At 38.1% G+C, this 13,335-nt stretch overlaps 1 protein-coding gene across 9 annotated transcripts in view; it reads right to left on the bottom strand.

Moving 5' to 3' along the window:
- Positions 1-13,335, bottom strand: part of DST (dystonin) — a 496,835-nt gene that overhangs the window by 268,809 nt on the left and 214,691 nt on the right. For all 9 annotated transcript variants that reach the window (NM_001144769.5, NM_001374722.1, NM_001374736.1 and 6 more), the window contains one exon: positions 8,424-8,485. In NM_001144769.5, the coding sequence (NP_001138241.1) occupies positions 8,424-8,485 (62 nt within the window). The remainder of the gene's footprint in view (positions 1-8,423; positions 8,486-13,335) is intronic.

Here is a 13,335-nt window from a genome sequence, read left to right on the forward strand (position 1 = left end):
GTTTCATATTCATTCATTACACATCAAATTCCTTAGTACGGTCTGAGGAAAACAGCAGTGTATCAGACAATATGCTAGAGGCCGCAGATGCATTGTTTCTTATAACAGATATAACCTGTCCTTATGCAGCTTTGAGTCTAGTTTTGAATAACAAACCAAGTCTAGTGCTTTAATCCTCCTACTACAGAACTGTAAAAGGAAAATAAATCTTGGGGCCCCAAAATCACTAAGCTAAAGGGAAAAGTCAAGCTGGGAACTGCTTAGGGCAAACCTGCCTCCCATTCTATTCAAAGTCACCCTCTGCTCACTGAGATAAATGCATATCTCATTGCCTCCTTTGGAAAGGCTAATCAGAACTCAAAAGAATGCAATCATTTGTCTCTTATCTACCTGTGACCTGGAAGCCACCTCCCCACTTTGAGTTGTCCCACCTTTCTGGACTGAACCAATGTACATCTTACACATATTGATCTATGTCTCATGTCTCCCTAAAATGCATAAAACCTAGCTGTGCCCGGACCACGTTGGGCACATTTCGTCAGGACCTCCTGAGGCTATGTCATGGGCACACATCCTCAACCTTGGAAAAACAAACATTCTAAATTAACTGAGACCTGTCACAGAACACACACACTTCCAATGTGAAGATCTGTACAACATGATTTAGAATATGTTAGCACCACTGAACAAAGTGTAATTTTTTTTCTTCTTTGAAAACGCTTTAGAAATTACCCTTTTCCAGCTAAAACAATGACCCTCAGGAATGCTGCTTGGCTTCTTTGCATACTTTTATCTGTATCTCTAAACTCTTGCCTAGTGTGTTGATTGAAGAAGAATGCAAATAGAAATTTATGGCTACATAACAAGGCCAGGGCATACCAGCCAAGATAGAGTATATGAGGGAATGCTGAAAGAAATTAGAACACAGCAAAGAGGCCATGTGCCCTAGCATATTGCTTTCTTTCTACTTCTCTGTCTCCATTTCTTCTTCATGATTCAAGATTCTGTGTCTTTATATTTTGGCATAATGCAATGGCATGATGTAGTTCTGTGGAGCCAGGAAGGACGAAGGACTAAATCTCAGCTCTGCCAACATTTTAGCTACTTCATGTTGGGCAGATAACTTATCCTCCCTGAGCCTCAGTTTTCTCACTGATAAAATAAGGATTAAATCAGATAATGTATGTAATGTATCTAGTGCAGGGTCAAGCACATAATAAGCACTCAATAAATGGCATTGACAGTGGTGGTAGTAATAATGATAATCAGGAATAAGAAAGTCAAGAAGAAGAAAAACTATAAGTTGACCACAAGATAGAACTAAAGTTATTTGAGGGAATTACTGAATAAAATTTTGGTGTTCTTAATTTGAAAAGATAGTTCACAATTTTATCAACAAACACTAAAATGACTTATAATTGCTTAAATGGCCCTCATAAGAAAAAACAAAAAGTTTGTCTTCTTGTCATGAAATAATTTTAGGTTCAAAAGATATTTTGCTATTAATCCATTTTTCCATTCTATATAAATAAATTCTTGTTCTGTATTCTTCAAAAATGTCAATTTCATACAAGTCTCCAAAAAGGCTATAGAAACTGTTTCCAATTAAAGCAGGTTGGCAGGACATGGTGGCTCACACCTATAATCCCAACACCTAGGGAGACAAAGGCAGCAGTCTGGCCAACATATTGAAACCTCGTCTCTATTAAAAAATACTAAAAATTAGCTGGGCATGGTGGCTCATGCCTGTAATCCCAGCTGCTCAGGAGGCTGAGGCACAAGAATCACCTGAATCCAGGAGGGAGAGGTTGCAGTGAGCTGAGATCACGCCACTGCACTCCAGCACGGGTGACAGAGCCAGACTCTGTCTCAAAAAAAATAATTAATTAAATAAACAAATAAAGCAGGTTAAAGAGACATGACACCTAAATGCAATACCTGACCCTGAACTGGTCCTTGCCCTCGGGGAAGAGAGGATGATGTAAAAGATCAACAAACAAGACTGAAATACAGACATTAAAATATTATACCAATATAAATTTATGAAGTTGCTAACTGTGTGGTCCAAAACAGAATAACCCTATTCTTAGGAAATACATACTGAAGTATTTAGAGGTAAAGGATTATGGTATATATAACTTACCCTCAAGTGGTTCAGATAAAAAAAGTACACACACACACACACACACACACACACACACACACACACGACTGGGGAAGGGAGAATAATAAAGCAAACTAGGTAAAACATTAACAAGAGCTCAATCTGGGTAAACAGTCTATCAGTGTTCCTTGTACTACTTTATTTTTGCAACTTTTTAAAGTTTAAAATATTTCCAAGTGAGTTCGATAAGGCTAAAGTTTAGGAACTACTAACATAAATCTAAGGTCTGGGGAAAAAAGTCTTATTTGTAGGTTTTAAGAACCCAAAGCAATACACTCTACCAAGCAGTATTTTTCATTAGCCCTTTATAAAGTTGATGCTTCAAAAATTCCCCTATTTTGGCTGGGGGCAGTGGCTCACGCCTGTAATCCCAGCAGTTTGGGAGGCTGAGGCGGGCAGACCACCTCAGGTTAGGAGTTCGAGACCAGCCTGACCAACATGAAGAAACCCCGTCTCTACTAAAAATACAAAATTAGCTGGGCGTGGTGGCACATGCCTGTAATCCCAGCTACCTGGGAGGCTGAGGCAGGAGAATCACTTGAACCCAGGAGGCGGAGATTGCGGGGAGGCAGAGGTTGCGGTGAGCCGAGATCGCACCATTGCACTCCAGCCTGGGCGACAAGAGCAAAACTCCATCTCAAAAAAAAAAAAAAAAAAATTCCCCTATTTAATCTGAGCCCACAGATGTGAAATTATTCTCGATCACTTTGCAATGGTCAAAACCACAGAGGAAATAGAGCTTTTTTTTCTGTTCTCTAAAAGATACCACTGTGTTCTCAGCTTGAGGATTTATATTATCTTCCCGCCACCAAATCAGAAAATAAAGAACAGTGTGATTGATTTGGTGGAGTCATGAAGTCACTGACTTCACTATGTGGGCAAAGAATATCTGCGCCATGAGTAAATTAAGCTTTCCAAAGTCGTGATGGAACAGTGATAAAATCTGTGATAGTCAGTTGGGTGTCTCCCATGCAGTAACCAAGTAGATGACTAACAAACAGAGTGTGTCCAACAATGGCATCCAGGGCCTCTTCCTCTCCAAATGCATTTATGTGTCAATAAATTAAAGTTTACAAAAAGAAAAAATATTTAGACCAAATATCCTCTTTCAAATGTGAAGGAATAAATTTAAAATATAGCTGATCAGTATTGAAGAATATATTTCCACCATAAATTGCCAATTAGATGGATCCTATGCAAGGAAACCACATTATATAGACTTCTCTGGACTCCAATCTTCCCCTAAAAATCATTTATCCCCTTAAACTACTCCTCCTAAACACAGTCTCTCATGGCTCAAGTTCTAATTCCAGGCCCAAGTAAGTGATTAAAGGGAGTCTTCTAATGATAGCTGTTAACATACTTCAGAAAATAAAGTCCTTCCTTCTTTCTCTGTCCCCCACCCCATTCCCCGAGAAAAGCAAAAGCTAAATCAGTACTTAACTCATAGGTGCCATTTCTCATATTGTTGTCCTATGAATTTCTAGACAGCAAATTGCACATGATGAGTAACAACAAGTAGTTATATAAAACCCTCTAATATAAAGAGGGAGTACCTAGTGTCATAGGTAGAAGAGGCAGAAATAAATGTTGTAAATGACAAAAGAATGTCATCAATTTTATATTTTGGAACAATTCTCCAGGTAAAATTTAGCTAACTGAAGACACAGGTATTTCCAATAACAACCAGCTCTTACTCTAGTTCTGCAGTTTAAATTATGCTAAAGAATAATATATAAATGTTCCTGACACCAGTAATTTACCTAGAAACCATGATTTGCAAGGTAAATAATCTGTGTGTTAACTGCACTTTATTCTTAAAAGTATTCTGAAGAATGATGAATCAAAAGGAAAACATTCTTAATAGAACAATCAGTTTCAAGGGCAGGCTTAGTCATACAACTGAACTACCGGAACACTAAAATTTAAATACATCTGGAAAAAAGCCACGGATGTCTGCTCACCAACAAATACAAGTTTTAATTAATTAGCCGATTTGCTTTAAACAAATGTAATTTTAGCCTGAAAAATACAAAATAAGGCCATATTAACTTTTTTCTGGAGAAAAGGTTACATTTTAAAAGTCCTCAGGGCCCATCCTCAAGCAGCCTTGGCCCAGGGCTGGGGTGTGCAGGGCACCAGGATGCCAGTGGGAAAGCGAGATGGAGCAGCAGTGGTTGAAGGCCAGGCTGAGGGCTAGGTGTCATCCACTGAGACTAAACAGAGTTTAGTGTTATCTGCTGGACTGTTGAGTGAAAAATATTCTCTGACCTGATCCTGAATTTTCCTTGATAATCAAAAGATTAAGAAACAGGGTCACACCACGTTACCCAGACTGGACTCAAGAGACTCTCCCACTTCAGTCTTCCAAGTAACTGGGACTACAGGTGTGCACCACTGTGCCTGGCCCAGAATTGTTTTCTTCATTTCATTTTTGGATTGTTCTTTGCAAGTGTATAGAAACACAATAGTTTGTTAAATACTGATATTGTATGCTTCAACCTTACTGAACTCATTTATTCATTCTGGTAGTTATTATGCTAGGTTCCTTGAGATTTTCTTTAAACAAGATGCTATCATCTGCAAATAGAGATGGTTTTACCTCTTCCTACTCAGTGAAACCATCAATAAGAGATTGATGTGTTTCATCTCATTTTCTGGCCTAATGCTCCTGATTCTTTTTAATGTTGTATTTCGCTGTTTGGATGTATCATAATTATTTTTACCAATCTCTTATTGATGAACATGTAGGTCATTTCCAACCTCTTGCAGTTATAACAGTGCTGCAATAAATAACCTATTACATACAGTCATAGAGTAATATTTCTCAAACTTTTTGGTCTCAGGATTACTTTACCTTTTTATACATAAGTTGCAAGTTTGGGCTTAGAAAGAATTTAATAATCATGAAAATTTTGTTTTCTTATAAAGTTGCTTTAATATTTGACATTGTTACCCTATCTAGATATTTTAAATGATATAATAAAACAAATGATGTCACAAATCAAATATTTAACTTTTTAAACAATAATATTTTTAGAGATTGCTTTTTTCTGGATAAACAAGGACTTTTAAAACAAAGAACTAAAAATCTTGAAATTTTTAATCAGGTTTCATGTTCCTAATTTTAATGGGTTCTAGTTCACAAGTGCTAGTTAATTCTTCACTAATCAGCCAGATGAAAGTGGAGATCGAAAAGGACCCTCTTCTAAGGAAGCAGCATATGCAAAGCTTAAAGATAAATGAGACCATGGTTTGAAAATATAGAGTGGCATACACTTGGTTAAAAGCAATTTGATCATCACAACAATTTGGCCTAAACAGCCATTTGGTTGAAAAGGAATATCCCCCAGTTATGGCTTTTTTTCAAGTATCGCTAATTTTGGTACATCATGGGTTGTTTTTCAAGCTTCTGTGCCAGAGTTTTCAGGAAAACTTTTTCTAATAATTGCTTTTGTGTTTCTAACTGATTTTCCAGAAACATTTATAATTTTGACTTTTTTCCTTTTAATGAGCATGCTTTTGAAATAAGCAAAAAACAACAAAAGAAACTGTATCGAAGAGCAAAAAAATCCTCACCAAATATTTTAAGAAGAAAATATTTATGCACATAAATGTAACAGTAACTTATACAATCATTTAAAAGCTCCACAATGTTTACTTTTGCCAGTTATATAAACTTTTAAAAATTGACCACGCCAGTATCAACCCTGAGCACTGTGTATATGCTTTTTTATAGCTACATAAATCACAACTTCCTAAGTCACAAAAATTAGCAAATAGTTGAAACAATAAGTTAAGAAAAGTAAACACAACCCCACATCCAAGGGGAACCTGCTGGGATCTGCAACCTATTGCAGTGCTCAAAGAAGTCAAACACTGGACACAGCGTCTCATTTGAATTCATATTCTCATTTCACGACTTCAAGTGCAGCTCTACCAGTAGCAGCTGTGGCAAGTTTCCCCTACTTTTAAACGAGGGAACAGAACCAGAAGATTTTGAAGATGCCCTCCAAGTGTGACTCTAAGTAAAACTAACTTTGAGGTCCAAAAGCTGCCAACCTTTCAGAAGTAAGATGAGTGTTCACTGACTCCCTTTCTGTGAGAAGAATGTGTGGGAGAAGAAGAAAAGGAGATTTAAAAAGGACTCCAGGCCCCCAAATCAACCTTTAAAAATCTGTGGAGGGGTAGGCAGGGGGCAAGGAGAGCACAGCTACAGGATTACCACAGGTAAGCCATTCTTCAGTGTCCCAGCAGAACTCTAAGGTAAAGAGGCAACACACCTATCAATCTCCTCAAAAAGAGTCTGAACCCCAAACTGTAGCTTTTTCTAAAATGAATAAACTAAAAGGAAAAGTACTTGATGTAATAAAAAGAGACACAGATAAGGGAAGCAGATGGGCACCAAAAGCAACTTACACTTAACTTCACAATTTTGTCTGACACCTTCCAAGTCAATCCACCCTTCTACACCATACGCTCTCATTTATAGAGTGCCTAACAATATGCCAAGTACTATGCTTTATGCTTATTTAGACTATCTCATTTAAATCCTCACACCAAGCTGGCATTACCACCATTTTACAGATGAGGGCATAAAGAGATTAAGTTCACACAAATAATGAATTGCAAAGCCTGGACACACCACCATTTACCTGACCTCAAAGGTGAGGCTTCTTCTGCTCCTCTGTTTGGTGTACATGTCACAGACTGATAACCTTGCAAAAGATGTTTTCCTTTCAAAGCTAATTTGTTCAAAATTAACATAATATACCTTTTACAAAAATGAAAAAAAAAAGAATCCAGTAAAGAAAGGCCTGTCTGGAGACTAACCTCTCAAGCACCTCACTGTCCAAAGGAATAGGACAAACAAGAATAGTTCTTGGAGTCACAACAAGGGTGAAAAAAACAGGGGGAAATAAGTGAATAATATTAAATTTAAGTTAACAAGATAAAAATTTAGAAAAGGCAAAACTTTTAAGAATTATTTAAAAGACAGGGAACACGTCCCTAGCCTGAGTCAGCACTCCAGGCAACTTATTACAGTATCCACACCCCAAACTTTACAGAGTGTCCTAGCCTGTAAGGAAGAGATCCTCTCCCATAAAGTATGTGCAGAATGAAAGAAAAGCTTGAGAGAGGACAGATGAACTGCCGCATGCTGCGTCAGAATTCACAATATATTTCCTCACAAAGCAGAGGGTTTCAACCTTTTATCGCTTGTGATTCTCAACCAGAGAGTGCGTGATGTGCCCTCCCTGAGGGATATTATCAGAATTTGAGAAAAAGGTTCTGTCAAGTGGTGAGAGAGACAAGACTGACACACCTCTAAGGTAATTCTGATACATCCATGAAATAAAAATCACTTTTATAGAAGATGACTAAACGCAATTTACATTATTGGTACCACTCTTAAGCTACATGATAGTTTAAATAAGATTTGTTGGCTAGCTTAAGAATACATAACCACATTTAAAATAACATTTCTATGTGAGAAAACTCCAAATAGAAACATGACCTATTTCAACTTTAGGGCTCTCCTTAAAAGGTGGGAGAAAGGGGAAGTGACCAATAGTTTATTGTGAAATCCTAAGGGTTCCTTACACAAGATTTACAGAAGGGCTTCAATAGGGTCCAATAACTCCACGAAATTACATGCAAATTTTGTGTTTATCTATTTTCTGGATAGTTTATATTCTCAAAATTACCCATGGTACACAAGTAAATATTAATTTAAGAACCATAACCATTAACTGCTTCATAGAGAAAGTTAGACATAAGCACCAATCACTGGATTAAATTAAGTATAAGAATATAATAAGTCTAGACTTCTGTCCCTACAATATCTTTATTCTCATCTAACCTTCTGCCATCCACATAAACCTGAGGCCAGAACTTGGTTTGAATCTTGAGAGAGAAAAAAAATCTTACTAAGAAATGTAGCTTTTCCATGCACTAACATATAAATATTTACAGATTTCTGAAACTTCTGAGATTTTATAGATTCCAATAGTAACAGGTTTTACTAACGTCACAGAATGCACTGAAATCACTGGGTACTTACCTATCCACCTCCATCATTACCCACCGTCCACACACCAAATAATTATAGATGCCTAAAATGCATGCAAAATTCTCTAGAATTTAAACTTTCAAGATGATTTTCAAAAGTTGTGCTTCAGAGCTATATAATCAATTACTGCAAAATAAACTGAAATATTCCAAACAATTCCAGGAAGTGAACGAAATAAAAACTGACCTTCATGAGATGCTGATTTATCCATTTTGTAAATGTTTTCTTCTGAACTTTGTCCCGTTCATCTGGAAGGAAAAAATATATATAAAGATAAGGTTGGTAAAATCTATGAATAGATGACTTTGTGATCATGAATATAAACAAAAATGAGATATTTAAAAGATATGCTTCAGTGTATTCAAAGTTTCTTGTTAAATTTTGGCAACTTCAGGCTATCTGTAAGAAAGTGTTTAAAGAGCTGCTTGTCAGGTTGGTCTCTTCCCAGTACTGCATTTACCAATATTCCTCCATTAAACAAATGCCCTCTGCCCCTCTGTCCCATAACCCCTCATCACCACCACCACCACCATGAAGTTGTCTAACGTAAGCCTTGTCCTTGCACTGAATTTCCCAAAGCCCTTTACCATATGTACATCCCATTTGCTCTTCACAGCCATAAGAGGAAGGGTTACTCCCATTTTGTAGAATAAGAAACCAAGACTTAACGAGGATAAAAGACTTGTTCATGATTACCCAGCAAATAGTTTAAAGTCTTGACAAAAGGCAAGGCCTAAATTGAGACTTTTTGGCTTGAAGTAGACTCTGGCTGAACATTAATTATTCTGCTTAATTAATATTAAGTAGTAATTTATTATTATTATTATTTGATATGGAATCTCACTCTGTCACCCAGGCTGGAGTGCAGTGGCATGATCTCCACTCACTGCAACCTCCGCCTCTGCCTCCTGGGCTCAAGCAATTCTCCTGCGTCAGCCCCCAGAGTAGCTGGGACTACAGGTATGCGCCACCATACCCAGCTAATTTTTTTGTTTGTTTTTTTTGTTTGCTTGTTTGTTTGTTTTGTATTTTTAGTAAGGGTTTCACCATGTTGGCCAGGCTGGTCTCGAACCCCTGACTTCAAGTGATCCACCCACCTTGGCTTTCCAAAGTGCTGGGATTACAGACGTGAGCCACCATGCCTGGCCTATGCTATTTCTTTCCTAGATTCCTGTGTTGAACTGTACAACAAAGAAATGCCCCAACTAGATCTTTACTGTGGACAGTGATCCTGCCCTGGTTCCTATAGACAGCACAAAGAAGAGTGAGAAAAGTTTTCTTCTGATTTAAGGAGAAAGAGCAATTGGAATGCTGTGGTTCATCAAGTTATTATTTCAAAGGAGAATGATAATCATCCAACACCTAAAGCTAGCATTCAAAACTGTATTACACTATCTTCTTCCTCCCTACTTCTAGACAGCAATTCCTTACTTTCTTATTTCCTTCTTCTCTCCTTTCTGCCTCCAGGGCTACCTCTTTCTCCTTCCTTGGTGGTCTTCTTTCCTCTTCTACCACAATTCAGATGTTCTCCATCCTTTCCCTGGGGGTAAGATATGTCTCGGTCTCTTTCTTCATCTCTTTTTCTCCTCATTCTTCATTCCTAACCCCCTTTAAACTACTGTAATATAACTAAAGTTTCTTTGAAAATGTTTGTCCTATTTATTAAAAGTATTTATGTTCTCTAGAATAACTTGAATGTAAACAAAAGTATATCAACTAGGGAAAATATACGCAATATGAGACAAATGTTACTATTATGAAAAAACAGCAAGAAGAAAAAGATTAACATTTTAATACATAAGCAGGCAAAAACAGACAGTTAATCAATTTTTTAAAAAGTAATGCCCAAGGGTCAGGTGTGGTGGCTTATGCCTGTAATCCCAGCCCTTCGGGAGGCCAATGCAGGCAAATTGTTTGAGCCCAGGATTTGGAGACTAGCCTGGGCAACATGATGAAATCCGGGGCAACATGATGAAATCCGTGTTTACAAAAAAATACAAAAATTAGCCAGACATGGTGGCATGCACCTGTAGTCTCAGCTACTTGGGAGGCTGAGGTGGGCAAGTCATTTGAGCCCAGGAGCTCAAGGCTGCAGTGAGCCATGATGGCGCCACTGTACTCCAGCCTGGGTGACACAGCAAGACCTTGTCTCCAAAAAATAATAAAATAACAATAAAAATGTAATGCACACAGGTACTCAATCTCACTAACAAAAAATAATAATATAAAGTAACACAGATAAAGCTTTCTAACTTACCAAATTGCCAAGATTTTATTTTTTAAAAAATTTCATGTTGAAAAGGACACAAGAAACAGACACACATATTGCTGATGAAAATGTAATTTAATTTAAACTTTCTAGACCTGCGTTGTTCAGTACTGTAGCCACTAGTCACATACACCTATTTAAGTTTAAACCAAAGTTAATTAAAGCAAAATACAATTAACAATTCAGTTTCTTTGTTGCACTAGTCACAATTTAAGTGCTTGACAGTCACATGTAGCTAATGGCTAACATATTGAAAAGCAGAGAAATAGAACATTCTAATCATCACGGAAATTCCTATCAGACAGCACTGCTCTAGAACAAAGCTCTACTGGACAGCGCTACTTTAGAATAATTTGATATAGAATAATCCCATCATCACAGAAGTTTCTGTCAGACAGCACTGCTCTAAAACAAAGCTCTACTGGACAACACTGCTGTACAACAATTTGTTAATATACATAAAAAGCCCTAAAAATACCTACGACCTTTCCCAGCAAATCTACTTCTAAAATCTATTCTGAAGTTATAATCATATTATGTACAAAATGTAACTATGAGAATATAAATCAGAGTGCTTACAATAGGAAAATAAAAATTCTGAAAAAACACAAATGTTCGAGAAAAGGAAATAAGGAAATTTTAGTAAAGTGATACAATGGTCTGTTCAAATTCAACTTGTTGTAAGACTACTCAGTGATAGTATTATCATTTAGAGTTCTCCTACTTTAATGCCAATAAGAATGGGGGGGAGGAACATATAACGTACTTTTTATTTCATAAGCATTTCTTCTCCAAAGTACCTCATTGAAACACCTTCCATTTCCTATCACTGTCAGGGAGAAAAAAAAGGTACTTATATACAGCCCATCTTTTGATTCTGCCTATAATACCTTTTCAGTGCCCCCAACTTCTAATCTACTTCTTATTTAAAAATTAGATAAAGGGGTGCAGAAAGCATTCCCAGACAGTAGAAGTAGTTTGCTAATTCTGAATATAAATGCTCAGAATTTATACTAAAATTTTTTTTTGAGACAAAATCTTGCTCTGCTGTCCAGGCTGGAGTGCAACGGCATGATCTCAGCTCACTACAACCTCCGCCTCCCAGGTGCAAGCGATTCTCCTGCCTCAGCCTCCCGAGTAGCTGGGACTACAGGCATGTGCCACCACGCTTGGCTAATTTTTTGTATTTTTAGTACAGATGGGGTTTCACCGTGTTAGCCAGGATGGTCTCAATCTCCTGACCTCGTGATCGGCCCGCCTCAGCCTCCCAAAGTGCTGGGATTACAGGCGTGAGACACCGAGTCTGGCCTGGTTTTATCTTTGTTTTGTTTGAGACAGTCTCGCTCTGTTGCCCAGGCTGGACTACAGTGGCACAATCTTGGCTTACTGCAACCTCCACGTCCCTGGACTCAAATGATCCTCTCACCTCAGCCTCCCAAGGAGTTGGGACTACAGGTGCATGTCACCACGCTTGGTGAATTTTTGCATTTTTTGCAGAGATGGGGTTTCGTCATGTTGCCCAGGCTGGTCTTGAACACCTAAGCTCACGCCATCCACCTGCTTCAGCCTCCCAGAGTGCTGGGATTATAGGCGTGAACCACTGTGTCTGACCCTAAAATTATTTTATTTGCCTCATTCCAAGTGTAAAACCCCCAGGCACTTTGCTTAAAACTGCTATCAAAAGCAATGATATTAATAATTATGAACCAATAATATTATCCACAAAATATTTATTAATTCCTCTATTGGCCCCTTAGGGGCATCATCTATACCTCATTCATCTTTGTCTACCACATACTAGATGCCACAAAGCCTCTATGCTGCAATGCCTCTATGCGCTCAACAGATAGATGCCCATTGTGTGAAATAATTTTATTTCAGGAAGGACAATCCAACTGAGGAAAACAATGTAGAATTACTTGTATACATATATACAGTAGTATATACAACTATATCTCTTAAAGCAATAATGGTGTCCTAAATGTCTTTCGGCCTTGCTATTCCTAGACAGTTCAAAATGAACCTAAATTACCAATTTGTTGGTAAAGCAAGAACAAGGAAACAGAAACAATTTACTAGTTCTCTTCACTGATAAGTGCAGATTCTGTACTTCCCTCATTTACTCACTCTTCATCCTAGCATCTATCTGGTCATTTAATGAGTCCAGTGCTATGGTGGTGCTGGTGTCAGAGGGGTGTGAACTAGAGCAACTCCATCTTGAATAGGAGCTAGGTAAAAGGAAGCTGAGACCTACTGGGCTGCATTCCCAGATGGTTAAGGCATTCTAAGTCACAGGTTGAGATAGGAGGTCAGCACAAGATACAGGTCATAAAGACCTTGCTAATAAAACAGATTGCAGTAAAGATGCTGACTAAAACCCACCAAAACCAAAATGGCAACGAGAGTGACCTCTGGTCGTCCTCACTATGACATTCCCACCAGCGCCATGACAGTTTACAAATCCCATGGCAATGTCAGGAAGCTACCCTATATGGTCTACAAGGAGGAGGCATGAATAATCCACCCCTTGTTTAGCATATCATCAAGAAATAACCACAAAAATGAGCAACCAGCAGCCCTCAGGGCTGCTATGTCTATGGAGTAGCCATTCTTTATTCTCAGCTCGCTACAACCTCCGCCTCCCAGGTTCAAGGGATTCTCTTGTCTCAGCCTCCTGAGTAGCTGGGATCACAGGCATGCGCCAACACACCTGGCTAATGTTTGTATTTTAGACAGGGTTTCGCCATGTTAGCCAGGTTGGTTCCAAACTCCTGACCTCAGGTGATCCTCCCGCCTCGGCCTCCCAAAGTGTTGGGATTACAAAGTGTA

Source organism: Homo sapiens, chromosome 6 (assembly GCF_000001405.40).
Source record: "Homo sapiens chromosome 6, GRCh38.p14 Primary Assembly".
Classification (NCBI taxonomy): Eukaryota; Metazoa; Chordata; class Mammalia; order Primates; family Hominidae; genus Homo; species Homo sapiens.